The sequence below is a fragment of the Homo sapiens genome, chromosome 1 (assembly GCF_000001405.40).
Source record: "Homo sapiens chromosome 1, GRCh38.p14 Primary Assembly".
NCBI classification, from domain to species: Eukaryota; Metazoa; Chordata; class Mammalia; order Primates; family Hominidae; genus Homo; species Homo sapiens.
The window spans coordinates 107,929,367-107,944,128 of record NC_000001.11 but is presented as its reverse complement, the minus strand read 5'-3'; the positions used below and the strand labels follow the sequence as shown (position 1 = coordinate 107,944,128).

Here is a 14,762-nt window from a genome sequence, read left to right as displayed (position 1 = left end):
TTGCTCCTTGGGTTTTTCACTCAGTAGGAAAGAGGAGTATTTATTATTTTGACCTTGGGAGACTGTGAAGCTTATGGCAGCCTAGCCTACAGGCAAATGACTGTCAAAACCAGGCACAGCTGTTTGTGATGGGTGTTTAGGCCTTAGCAAGTGCAGGATGCACTGGTCCTGGCAAGTGGAGCCATGCTGGGCTTTGTGGGTGGGCTTTTTGGGTTTTGTGGGCACAGCTTGGACTCGTGTTGCAGGTGAGGCTTAGGAAGGGGTTTGACATTTTTAGTCATTTGGGGTGGAATAGCATTTGCTGCTTTTACTGTATTTCAGTCAAGGCTCTAGGCCACGACTTCAAACTGTAAAAGCCACAGAGTTTTGTTTTGTTTTGTTTTGTTTTGAGACGGAGTCTCGCTCTGTTGCCAGGCTGGAGCACAGTGGCACCATCTCGGCTCACTGCAACCTCTGCCTCCCAGGTTCAAGCGATTCTCCTGCCTCAGCCTCTCGAGTAGCTGGGACTACAGGTGTGTGCCACCATGCCCAGCTAATTTTTGTACTTTTAGTAGAGATGGGGTTTCACCATGTTGGCCAGATGGTCTCGATCTCTTGACCTCGTGATGTGTGTGCCTGCCTCGGCCTCCCAAAGTGCTGGGAAGTTTTAAGAGTGCTATTGTGTGAGGTTCTTTCTTTAAATTGTGAGAGACAAGCCAAGGAAATGATAAATTGGCTTCACCACATTCACTTAATTTTGTTCTAGGCCAAATGAAGGCCCTGGAGGGACTAATCTTATGTAATTTTGTAGTTTATCTACAAATCTTAATAGGCCACCTGTGATATGACCAACCTCAACTGACTAATCAAGAGCAGACCAAGAAAGCATCCTCTGTATACGTATATCAAAACATCACTCTATATCCCATAAATATGTAAATTTATTACATATGAACTAAAAATAAAAAGGAAAAAAAGATGGCCAGAAGTGACTGGCCACCAAGACTCTAAGAGTAGGAGATCTGGTGTGCCAAGGAAAAAGGAATTGAATCAGAACTAAGTCAAAAAGGAACACATCCTCTCTGCAGAGAAGCAGGTCTCAAAGACAAGACCTGTGAGAAGCTGAACTCTACACTGCCTAGGGGGAAGAAGCATTGTTCTAATACCCCAACAGAAGTTCCTCTACAAGAAAACGTGAGTTTTGTTTGCTCTGGATTTCATAATTAAGTTCTGGCCATTAGGTCATGGAACTGTAGCTGTAAAAGATGTTGGATTTTGTTATTTAGCAGATAAAAAGGAATGGGGGTGGCCCTTAAGAAATATATGGCATATTCTTGGGTTGAGATAGACAAGCAAGTCAGTAATCTTATTGCAAACCAGAAAGTTAAGAAGATGATTACAAAGGCCGGGGGTTGGTATGGATTCTAGAGATCAGGTTTTCTTAGAATATCAAGGAGAAAGTAGAATTGGTTTGAAAAATAAGTTTTGTTATGATCAGAAAAGAAGCAGTAGTAGACTGAAAAGACTAAGCTAGGAGAAATGTTCACATTTCATGAGAGGTATGAAGGGAGAAATGAGATCTTAAGTCAGGATACACAGATATAAAAAGGAAAAGAGATCACTCTAATGATTACCAATTAGAAAGTGTGGTGGGCCTGAAGAAGTGAGACAAGATCTGAAATTTTTTTACCAGGTTCAGAAAATGTTGCCAAGTGTCCCTTTAAAGATGTAGTGAGAGTCTGAAGTATGATTTGTAAGGCCAAGGGCTGGATATGGTCTTGCATTTTGTACACTGAGTAAAGATTTCTGCTAGTAGAGGTTGAAATGCAACTGCTGTCTTCTCGCTGTGGGATCTCACCAGGGTTTACATCTGTCCTGGAGGGGTACTTTCTTCTAGTTTGTATAAAATATTCATCATCTCACTAGGCTAGTGTTGGTGACCCTGGGATAGCAATATCAAGTGGTTACAGAAAAGTTGCATTTGCAGGGGAAAGCCCAGCGATGCCAGCATAACATACTGAAGAATTCACTGAGTTTCAAGGTGTTAACATTACTGTGATTGGGCAGGCAGGTATCACTTGCACGCTGAAGGAACATTCTCAAAGTTTTTTGGAGTTCAGACTCTAAGGGGAGGCAGGAAAAGATGAGGGGTATTCTAGGAGGAGACAGTCTAGGGCTGGCTGGATGTGGCCTGATGAGAGTCACCTCCTGACTGGGATTATGTAACTTGGGAAGTGAAGGTTGACAAGATTTATTTAAATAATGCATTTTTTTTGGTAGGGGAGATCATATTCAGAACCTTAAAATTCTCTGTCATCTGGGAGATTTTATGATAAAACATTGAGGAATATGTTAGAAAATCAAATATCTGGTGCAGGAAGTTAAAGAGAAAGTAAGCCATTTATTTCTACCCAACAGTGATAGCTCTAAAGAGGAAGAGACAGGAAGATGGGAGGAGCCTCTGAAGTTTTCTCAAAAGAAAATGGGATCAGTGTATGAAAATTTAACATGAGGGATATACCCTACTTCTGGCAAAACAAACAAAACAGAAGTACTGAGGACCTGGTCATTAAAATGTACAGAAACTCTAATCTTTTAAGTGTCCATAAAAAGGTGTAGCTCGTCACAGGCCCCGAAGGATGTTGGCCTCGGAAATGGTTCTGGAATCAAAAGAAGTTCTCGAATCTTCTAGAGTTCACTTGGAAAAAATGAGAGGACTAAGAGATGACCTTCCTCAGGAAGCAGTTTTTACAGCCCAAAGCAATTACACAGCAAAAAGCCGTTGCAACAGATGCTGTTGCCCAAGACTAAAAATTTCTGCTTGTAAAAGATTGTGAAGATGATGACTCTACTACGCAGAGACCACATTCAGTTTAGTCCTTTAGTACTAGAAACATGGGACTCAGAAGAAGTAGAAGATAGGAAATTTAGAATGTGCGGGCTGGGAAAGAAAGGTTCTACAAATAGGGCCTGGAGGGACTACGGTTGCCACCACTGCAAATTTCTGAACTTTGAAAGAAGTGAGTGATGCTCCAAATGCCAGGCTTTGAGGGAGAAGACACTTTGCAAAGTCAGATTTTTTCCTGCCAGTATGCATGGGGCCAAAATTAACCTCCTGCTTGAAGATTTCTTCTAGTTGAGGGTTTTTTTTTTTCAATTGTGCTAAAATATACATAGTATAAAACTTACCATTTTAACCATGTTGAAGTATATTGTTCTGTGGCATTAAGTACATTCACACTGTTGTGCAATCATCACCACCATCCATCTCCAGAACCTTTTCATCTTCCCCAACTGAAACTCTATACATTAAACAACAACTCCCCCTGAAGCCCCTGGCAACCCCCTTTCTACTTTGTCTCTCTGAATTTGACTACTCTAGATACTGCATATAAATGGAATCATACAGTTTTTGGCCCTTTGTGACTAGCTTATTTTATTTAGTTTAATGTCCTGAAGGTTTATCCATGTTGTAGCCTGTGCCAGAATTTCTTTCCTTTCTAAGGCTAAATAATATTCCGTTGTACAGACACCACTTTTTGTTTGCTTTTTCATTCATTGATGGATACTTGTCTCCCAATCGAGTTTTAAGCTTTAGAAAATTGGCATAGTTTCGCAGGCATCCTGGCAAGGCTGAAACCAGGAGGACTTTGTTTTTATTTGTAGAACCTTCTCTATCTTTCAAATGTCCTGGAGTTTCTGCTGTTGTCTTTGGAAGCAATTACATGGCTCTGGGTTATGCCAAATTCTGGATTCTGGGAACACTGGCTTGCTTGTTGTGGTAGCTACTTCATGGCCTGAGGATTAGCTTTCCTTTTAAATATTGTGGGTGTGGGGCAGATGATAGTCTTGCCTGACCTTATAATTCTTTGGTCTCTTTAAAAGTGGAGGATGTCAAAGATTTGAGATAACGTTGACTCAACATCTGAGGCTCTGAAGGAACTATACTTTCTTCATTACAGCTTGAAGCTGTTTCAAAACAAACAAAAACAACAAAAACCTCTACAATTCTACCCAGGCATCAAGAGCTCCTCCAGCTGGTAATATAGAATACGAAATTTGAGAGGATGAATTTGACCTTTAATATTGTTGGACTTTGTATTGGATATCTTTCCTCCATCACTTCAAAATCGTCTTGCTTGGCCTCTTATTGCAACCACAGCTGCAGTAGACAGTTCCATACAAGCTTCCAAGAACTTCATGGGTACATCTGGAGAGCACCTCACCTGGGGCCACATTCTCTACCTGTCCTGTCTTACTCTTCCTCCTCTGGGCTTCTTTCTGGTGCATGGGGGTGGGGGGAGATATTAAGTATTCCCCAAGAGCAATGGTCAGTTTAGTAATTCGTCTTTGTATTTTTCTTCCTTCCTTCCCCATTTTTAATCTGCTCCTCAGGATCACTTCACCAACTAAATCCTGCATTCAGGATTTTGTCTAAACTTCTACTTTCTGGGAAACTCAGGCTAAGACAGACTATATAAAGATGCTCCATGACTTAGATGGGGTTATGTCCTGAGAAACCCATAAGTTAAAAGCATTGTAAGTCAAGACTGGGTGTTTTGTAGACATGATGGGATGGAAAACCAAAAAACACTATATCCAAAAAATGCTGGCATCACAGTTACATTGTAGAGTATTGGTTGTTTACCCTCATGATCACTTGGCTGACTGGGAGGTTTTGCTTGCTGCCGCTGTCCAGCATTTCGAGAAAGTACGGAACTGCATATTGTTAGCCTGGGGATAGATCAAAATTCTAAGTACAGTTTCTACTGAATGTGTACCTCTTTCACATCATCATGAAGTTGTAAGTTGAACCATAGTAAGCCTAGGACCATCTGTGTAAAGGCAAGAAAATTTGAGTCTAGAATTTAATTCCTTTAGAATTTAACATTTTTGGACTTGCAAGGAGATTTAGTTTCTAGTCTTTAATATCTTAATGGAAAACTAAGGTTTATATTTAAAATTGGCGCTGTTATCTTAGTGTTTAGAAAAAAAAACTAGACAAATTTAACACAGTTTAATGAAGCCAAGAACGATTTGCAAATTGGGCAGCCCCCAGAACCAGAATAGGTCCACAGCGATTCTGGGGCTGCCACATGGGAGGATAACATTTATGGTCAGAAAAGGGAAAGTAACAGAAAATGGAAGTGAGGTACAGAATCAGCTGGATTGGATATAGCTCAGCGTTTGCCTTATTTGAACACAGTTTGAACAGCTGGCCACCTGAGATTGGCTGAAACTCTGTGATTGGCTGAAACTCTGTGATTGGTACAAGAGTAGGTTATGGTCTATTTACACATCCCATTAGGTTACAGTTCACTGTGTCCATATGTGCAGATAAATCTTTAGGCCAAAATTCCTTTTTCATTGTTCTTTTGTTCTGTAAGTGCTCATTAAATGCCCAGTACATTAGGAGCCTTTGAGGTAATCAAAGCTACTTGTTGACATGAGAATATTTGAGTACTTCATGGGTTTAGTGTCATGAGATAATATCACATAAACCCTTTGGGTTTACCAAAACAGGAAACATGGAGAGAAAGGACAACCAAGTCATCCACTGGGCACTTCTGGATTGTTCTGACATCCTAATTATGTCCCTAGGCTGCAAGCTCTTCCCTCCATGCCTGCTTCCTCTTCCATTTCTGCCCCTTTCTTATCTACAGACCTGTTTCTACAGGGAACAGATATTTCAGTCTTTGGGAATTTATCCCTATTCCCTAGCCCCCCAAAAAACCCACCCCTGTGGTCCTGATAGTTTCCTCCCTTGAGAATCTAGATCCCTAAGACACTCCTGCCTCTCGCCTTCTTGGTCCCATCTGGCGGCTCCTTCCTCCTCAGCTTTCCTTGAGTTTAGGGCTGGCCCTTGACCTTAGTGCCTGAAGGATAGAAGGTGGGGACATTTCTCGAAGTTGGTTAGCCTGTTTTCTGGCTCGGGGATCGCCTCCTCTTCTGTAGGGTAATTGTTTCCCATTTTCATTCTTACCCTTCCCACCACCTGTTTATATATGAAGGGTCAAGAATACCTATAGCCCTGAGTCCATCCTCCCTGGCTCCCCAAGAAGGTTAGGCTTGATTCCATGCCAGGCATGTTGAGAAGACTGCAGACATGCTCTGTGTGACAGAGTGCATTTTATGATGCTTCAAAGCAAGGAGGCAAAGATAAAATGATTTCATTTTTCTATTTTCAGCTTTTTTGAGTTGAGGGTTGCTGGCCTATGAACTTGATCACAAGAGCCTTATTTATTTGGAAAAATGTATTCTAAATTCTAAGGACTAGACATGTTAGTGTACTACATTCTAAAATTTTTCTTAAATTGGGGCCTACCTATAGTGTATAGATATTAATGCAGTCATTATATTGTGTTAATAATTGGGACTACAAGCCTTAACCAGAGTCTTAGAATTTTATGAATTTTAATTTATAATTTTATTTTAAGGGTGCCACTAGAAACCTTGTGATTAACTTTAAGGGCTTTTTGGCTGTAATGACTGTAATTAGGATAATTATGCATACTTTCTTTAGCATTGTGTCAACATGATAGTGAGGGCATAAACAGCCAAGAAGCAGTTATAGGTATTCCCTGCTCATTTTGCATTCATCACACATTCATTGAATGTTTTGTACTTATCTCAAATAGTAGAGGATACCAATGGTGTAAGTTTAAGAATTACATGGTTCTTGTCCTCCAGAAACCATGGAGTCCAGCAGGAAGGAAATGACATACTGGTATTTGGCAGGCAGAGATGGAAGTTTGGTTTGAAGAAAACCTTTTGTGCTGATGTTACAGCTGCTGCAGTCACTAGCCACATTCATTGTGCAAAGGCTGGAGGATTCCACAGTCAGCATGGAAGGGACCAATTAGTCATGCGTGGGTTTCATCCTTGCCTCTATAAGAAGTAACATCTCAATAGTCATGGTGGTGTTTTGAATTTAAATAATCACACATTATTTCTTGGTATGTTTTTCAGATCGCCAAATATTGTGGTTTTGTGTCACATGTGCATTATTTGTTAAAACAGGATTATGGTGTGAATGATGGAGCTGTTTTTTTGGGGTGGCGGTGGAGGGTGTTATGTTTAGACTGTCACTCTTGCTAGGCATCCTTTGCCTGACTGTGTGTAAGGTGTGGCAATCTCAGTAGTCACATTGGCCCTCCCATTTCCCGTAGTCTTTGGAAATCTGACCGGCAGCATTGAGAAGTAAGTAAAAGGGGTGCCCTCTCAGATGTCCCTTCCTTTTAAGGAATGATGTGTATCAAATCACAAGATCGGTCGGGGAAGGAGCAGCGTGACACAGGTGTATCTTTTCTGTGGTTTGCGATGAGGCATAAGTGCATAAATTCCAACCAGGAAAGGAAGTGCAGGGAATTCTACTCTCAGGACATCCTTATGGTCCTGACAACTTCTTTGGCAATGTCAGCAGCCCTTGGCATTTTGTCATGCATTCTTCTCCAACTTGAAATTCAGGCTTAGTGCATGCAGTATGCCACAGTCAGGCTTGTGGCTACTCCAGGAGGGGAGCTGTGACTCATTCTTGAGTCACTTGGCCAGCTTTGGTTTCAATTAAGCAAATGAATGAAAACAATTAAAAACAGAAGTTGCCGACTAAGGCTAATAAAAGGGCAGCAGTAATTTTTGTCTACTGTCACTGTTGTTTCTCTAGATTGTCATATCTTTAAAAACTCGGTAAGACAAATCTGTTAGTGTTTGATTTTAGATTTCTTGTTTATAATCTAAAAATCAGACCCAGAATCTGATTTACCTTTTTGGTTCTAATCTAGTTATATTGTAATTCTAACACTATGCACAACTAATTTATATATTAAATATAGAATTTTTCATTGGCTAAATGCACTTTCCTCAAATTTGTAAGAGGTTTTCCACTATTCAAAAGTGTTACATGTTGCATTAAGTCATTGTTGATTATTCAAATTATTTTCAGATTTATTTTCCAAGTACTAAAAAAAATTGTGGGTGTATTTTCAGGATGTTTTATCTATCAATTCATATTTTTGAGCCCCTCCTCTCCCTTCTCAATTCACATTTTAAAAATTATTAGTTCATCAAATCTAGGAACTGTAATAATGTCCTACGTTTACTTTTCTCCCCAAATCATAAAATTTCAGTAAAGTTTCCAAAAGGGGCATAAATGTGTCCTCATCTCTCACACACTGAAAAGCAAAATTCTTCAACTGATGGGGTATTTTCACCTCTTTGATGTCTGTGTGCCTCTGTCATCGGTGTAGTTCAGAGCCTTATCTCCCTTCCATTAGACCATCACCTGATATACCATGGTTTCTTTCATCTCCTTGTCATTGTAATAGGAACACCTTTCCCTTTGCTGGTTAACTCCTATTTCTCTGCAAAATACAGCATAGGTAATGGCCTTGGTTGGCCTGTCTGTTTTTGGTGCCTCTCCTGTGTGCCTCCCTAGCACTTCCCCTTTGTCATGGTGCACACCACTGCACCCTATTGTCCCTTTGCCTCTGCCTACCTTGCTGTGAACTTATTCAGGTCACGGATGGTTTCTTACTCATTTCTGTAACTGCAATGAGTAAGTGAGTGAATGAAATGTTCATCCTCATTCTGATGGGGAAACTTATTTCTAATTTTAGGGACTGAGGACCAAATTTGTGTATTTGTCAGACCTGGCTTTTCATTTTCTCCAACCACTGAACATTTCAGTGCTCGTAACACTGTAGGAGAGAGTAGACCCTGTGGTCTCTGTGCAGTAGGTGCTGCTGCTCCTTTCTTCCTGGAGAATTATATATTTACTTCTTTGATATACCTTATCACTGTGAATTTTATTTGCTGACTGGCAGTGTAAACTCTGGCTTTCTAGAGGTTTATCTTAGGAAGAACTCAATATTTATTCACTTGAATGAAATCAAATAACATTTGGCTTAATTGCTTTAAAATGAAGGAATAATTAGAAGCAACTGCTTTGCTTTGGAGAACTGTAGGAAACTGTAATCTTACAGCTGTAATTGCCCCCAAATGGAGAAGACCTTAGGAATTTATGTTGAAAGTAGAACACTGCCAATTGTTCTCATTGGCAAATTGGCTGATATGAATGTTTGCCAACCGGAAACTTGCCCCATCAGTTCGCGTAATCTGTGGGAGGTGAATATATTTTATGAAGAAAAGTGATAGAGGGAAATTAGAGGCTATTGTTACTAGTGTGTGATGGGTTCATGTACTACCAACTCTTCTCCTCAAAGCTGCAGATAGCCTGGTCGTGCAAGAATTTGTTTCTTGTAGCACGTCTCCTCTCATTTGCCTCGCTGTGCCGCTATATTTTGTTTAGCATGTGCTTTTCTCTTAATAACAACACAGTGATTCACAAAATTCCCCAGAGTGTGTGTTCAGTCTGAAATTTTCTGAATGTGATATTTGAAAATGCTAAATACAGCATATAATTAAAATTTCAGTGGTTAAGTTTTCATCATAACTTATTTTTGGAACTAAGAGTTTCCTTTTCGAGACTTTTGATGTGTAAGAAGGGTACAGTTTTTAACAGAGCTACCTGTGTTTGTTAGAACTATACTTTTTTGGTTAGAACTATACTTTTCATAGGAGCCGTTCCTCCTGGAGACACATCTTTGTCTGAAATATTTAGGAATTCTTAAGTAATTGTTGCTAATACTCATCTTAGTTAAATGGCTTAAAAAACAATTCCACATATGAAGGATGCACACACACATACACATAGCCTGTTTTGTTCTGTTTCTGTTTTCACAGGAAGAAAAAGAGTGGCAAAATATATCTTCTGCTCTGTTCTAAGGGTTTTGGTCCAGATCACAAGTCTCAGGATTCTTAGCAGCAGAAGAGTTTATGATTCTAAGTAGAGGTGCATCTGTTTCTTGTTGTAATATTAATAGATGACATCCAGGAAAGTCTTGGGTTTTGCAATATTTTCATCTAGCCATTTCACAGAATAGAGAATTTATCCTTATTCTAAAGGATATAATTATTTAAAGAATAAACCATAGAGTTCTTATAATTCCAAGATAATAAGAATAGAAGGCACTTTTGAAATTTCCTTGAATAAATCCTAATTTCTTGGATTAGAATTAAACAGCTTTTTGAGTATGGTCACTGATAATGTCAGAAACTGTTTTGCATTCAACAAAGCTGGCCAGAGACCAGTGGTAGTGCTTTCATCTTTTGGTCTGATCACTATTGTGAGCCAAGCTCCTGCTAAGGGCCAAAGAAGAAACTGTAACTTCTGTACTCCTCTTATGACTGTGGAAACATTGCTTTACCTACAGATAGCATGCTTTTTAAAATCGCAATTTTCAAGTAATGAGATTTAATTTTTTTTTTTTTTTTTTTGAGAAGGGTCTCATTTTGTTGCCCTGGCTGGCATGGAGTGGTGCAATCATGGCTCACTGAAGCCTTGAATTCCTGGGCTCAAGCCATCCTCCCACCTCAGCCTCCTGAGGAGCTGGAACTACTGGGTGTGTGTCATCATACTCAGCTAATTTTTAAATTTTTTTGTAGAGATGGGGTCTCAGTGCATTCCCCAGGCTGGTCTCTTAACTCCTGGGCTCAAGTAATCCTACTGCCTTGGCCTCCCAAAGTGCTGGGGAGATTCAATTTTCATATGTCAATTAAATTTACAGAATTTGCAAATCCAATTGCAGGAAATGGGTAGATGAGCTTTAACTTTTTTTCTCCTTCTAATTGCTAACCTTGAAGTGAGCTAATTAATGTAGATGGACTCTGAGGACATTTATATTCAGAATTTGAAATGGTCAGATTTTCAAGAGCAATGAGTCTAAGATATCCTTTGCTTATAAAGGGTAGAGGAGGACCAAATAGTTTCTGGAGAAAGGTTATCTTTTGTACTGGAAAAAAAAAAACACAAAAAAACCACCACACCACCACCAACCAAATTAAACCTAAACCTCTGGCAAATATGAGTATTGTAAGCAAAACAAGACAATAAAATAACCACAAAACTGAATAATTTAGAAAGAAAATATTTACACTGTACTGTCATTTAGGCCTCGGAATAGTAAGAGGTTTTTAATATATTCACACACGTTTCATTATTTGGCATAAATTTCTTATACATAGGCATATTTATTGGGGAGATATATTCCTTAACATTGGGATATGTATTAGTTTCCTATTGCTGCTGTAACAAATTATGACAAATTTAGTGGCTGATAATAACCCAAATTCAGTATTTTAACAGCTCTGGAGGCCAAAGGTTCAAAATCAGTTTCACTGGGCTAAAGTCAAGATGTTGGCAGAACTAGTTTTTTTAAGAGGCTTCAAGGAGGAAATTAATTTTCTTGCTTTCTTCAACTTCCAGAGGCCACCTGGATTCTTTGCCCTGTGGCCCCTTCTTTATCCTTCAAATCACATCACTGTAATGTCTGTTTCCATCACAACATTGCTTTCTCCTGTTCTGTGGTCAAATCTTACTCTGCCTCCTTTTTATAAAGACAGTTGTGATTATATTTAGGACTCACCCAGGTAATCCAGTATAACCTCCCTATCTCGAGATCTTTAATTATGTCTGCAAAATCCCTTTTACCATAATAAAGTATTATTCATTGGTTCCAGGGTTTGGGATGAGGACATCTTTGGAGGCTATTATTCAGCCTACCAGCATACTTACAGGTCCTTGCAGCATAGACCCTATGGAGCTGTGTTCTGTAAATCATACTGCATAGTTATTGCTTTGTTCCCATCAAATCACCTGAAGTCTCACATGTTTCTGCATAGTCTCTTTCAGGTTTTGTTCATGCAAACTAATGTCACTCACTCCTGGGCAGAGGACTTCTGCCAGTTTCTCCATGACTGCTACATAAATCACTGAATTATAGTCTCTTCAGCTACCACTTCTAAGGTGTCATTCACCTTGAACTCCTGAGAAGTATGTCTTAATGCCCGCTCTTGAACTTGTGTGGCATCTCTCGTGCTGTGATTTGGGTACCTTTTGTTAGCTGTTGTGATGAATTAACATTATTACCAGCACATAAAGTAACATCAGATAAAGTAAATGAACCAATTGACATGCCACTGAAGCCGGGGAAAACACAAGTGTGGGCACCAGGAATGCCCAGTGCAGTGTGCCAGGCTGGCTCTTGTTGCCTGTATGGGTGTGAGAGCTATCGTTGTGCTATGCTGGTTGGCCATAAGAAAAACATTTATTAGCTGTACTGTTAAGAATGTAATAGATTTCTATATTTTTTCATATAGAACTGTTCTCAGATTAGTTTCATAAGGACCATGCTTAATGTTCAAAGCACAAATTTGAAATAAAATGGTGAGGTATTGAATTACTGAGAGTTAGTCCCTTTGCTAAACCCCCAAATCTGTGGTTTGGAATTAGGGCTGCTTCCATAGTGTAATGCTAGTTGTTGTTACTCTCAGCATGAGCTGACTGTTAATAATGGCTGTGTAATTTTGAGCAGACCACTTAAGTTCTCTGGTCTTCATTTTCTTTATTTGTTAAGTAAGGAATAATTTGACTACAATTCTTTATGACAATATTTCAATCACGTGTTTTAATATCCATGGATAATCTAAAATATGTAAAGTATAATCTGTATCATTTGAATAGTCTAAAACTATTTATGTTGGAAAATTTTAAACATACACAAAGAGAATATGAACTGTCATGTACCCATCACCTGGATTCAACGGTTATCTAGGTTATCACATTTGCTTCAACTATACCCCTTTATTCTTTAAAAATGTATATTTTTTATTTTTAATTGGCATATAATAATTGTGCATACTTATAGGGTACAATGTGATATTTTGATACATGTATTCAATGTATAATTATTATTCTGCCTAAGTATTAAAGCAAATCCCAGGCATCATGCTGTTTTTGTCCTTACACGCTTTGATATGCATCTTTAAATTTTTAAAGATTTTCCTAAATAGTCAGAATGCCATTATCACATCTAACAAAGTGAGCAATTTCTTATTATAATCTAACATACAGTCCGTATTCAGATTTCTTAGATTGTCTCAAAATGTTTCCTCTACACTTGGCTCCAAAGAAGGATCCAAACAAAGCCCATTTGGATCCTTACTGCATTTGAATATTACCTGTGAGTCACTTTTAATTTAGTGGTCCTTTTCTCTAGGTAGTAACGAGATCAGGAAACCTGGTCACTTGTCTCGTAGACTATTTCACATTCTGTATTTGTTGTCTTGCTTTCTCATGGTGTCATTAACTTGTTCCTCTATATATTATAATACCTTAAAATTGAATATTAGCTCTGAAGGCATGAACAGATTAATATTCACCTATTTTTGCTAAGATACATCATAGCCGATGCAGTGTACTTCATTTTGTTCCACATCAGAGGTAAATAATGGCTGGTTGCCCCACACGTAGATTTGCTAAGATTGATCGGTGGGTTTAGGTGGTGACAGTATCATCTCTTCAATATAAAGTTTTTCATTGACTTTTCATCAATCATGTCATTTATTATTAATCTTTGCCTAAAACAATTTTTTAGGACTTGCAAAATGGTGGTTAAAAAAATGTCATTAGTTCTTTAACATTTTTTGACTGGAATTCTTTTGTAAAGAAGAATCTTTTCTTATCGACTAGGTAACCCTGAAAGTGTAATACATATGGGAAGGGCAGAAGTAGTTAGGTAATTATTTTCCTTTGATTACCAATTTTCAGAGTATGTCATTTCTAGTAATGACTAATTGATTTCTTTTTGGAGGGGAGGGGCAGACTTTCTATTGTTTTAAGTCTCATTCTGAGCTAGTGGGTCTTTATATATATTCAATGTGTTTTTTATCAAGGTACTCATAATTCTTTAAAAAAATTTTTTAGTTTTAATTTTTGTGGGTACATAGGTATACATATTTATGGATTACATGAGATATTTTGATATAGGCATGCAATGTGTAATAATCACATCAGAGTACATGGGGTATCCATCATGTCAAGCATTTAAGCTTTGTGTTACAAACAATCCAGTTATACTCTTTTAGTTATTAAATGTACAATTATTTTTTACTACAGTCACCCTGTTGTGCTTGCAAATAGTATATCTTACTCTATTTTTTTTTGTACCCATTAACCATCCCTACTTCCCCTCCAACCACCCACTACTCTTCCCAGAATCTGGTAACTATCCTTCTATTCTCTATCTCCATGAGTTCAATTATTTTAATTTTTTAGCTCCCACAAATAAGTGAGACCATGCAAAGTTTGTCTCTCTGTGCCTGGCTCATTTCACTTAACATAATGACCTCCAGTTCTGTCCATGTTGTTGCAGATGACAGGATCTCATTTTCCTTTATGGCTGAGTAGTACTCTGTTGTGTATAAGTACCACATTTTCTTTATCCATTCATCTATTGATGGGCACGTAGGTTGCTTCCAAATCTACTTTAAGCTGATAACAAAACTGTTTGCACAAGCAAACAAACAAGCAAAAAGAAAACTAATAAATTTCTACACTTTTTAACTTCGTCCCTCCACTTTTTAACTCTTTATTATTTCTGTTTATATCTTATTGTACTGTCTGTCTGGAAAAGTTGTAGTTATTATTTCTGATTAGTTCATCATTTAGTCTTTCTACTTAGGGGAGTTTACTTACTATAGTTACAATGTTATATAATATTCTGTATTTTTCTGCGTACTTACTATTACCAGTGAGTTTTGTACCTTCAGATGATTTCTTATTTCTCATTTATGTCCTTTTCTTTCTGATTGAAGCTTTTAACATTTCTTGTAGGACAGGTCTGGTGTTGATGAAATTCCTTAGCTTTTGTTTGTATGAGAAAGTC

General features: G+C 38.3%; 1 protein-coding gene across 7 annotated transcripts in view, besides 1 other annotated feature; it reads left to right on the top strand.

Annotated features, from left to right (window-relative positions):
• VAV3 (vav guanine nucleotide exchange factor 3) overlaps positions 1 to 14,762 on the top strand; it is a 394,020-nt gene that overhangs the window by 21,052 nt on the left and 358,206 nt on the right. The window lies entirely within an intron of this gene.
• Positions 7,317 to 7,853: an enhancer, noted in NCBI's record as "OCT4-NANOG-H3K27ac hESC enhancer chr1:108478898-108479434 (GRCh37/hg19 assembly coordinates)". NCBI's record gives its function as "activates a minimal SCP1, AML or CMV promoter by ChIP-STARR-seq in naive H9 embryonic stem cells {active_cell/tissue: H9 hESC(naive)}" and the evidence as "EXISTENCE:reporter gene assay evidence [ECO:0000049][PMID:30033119]".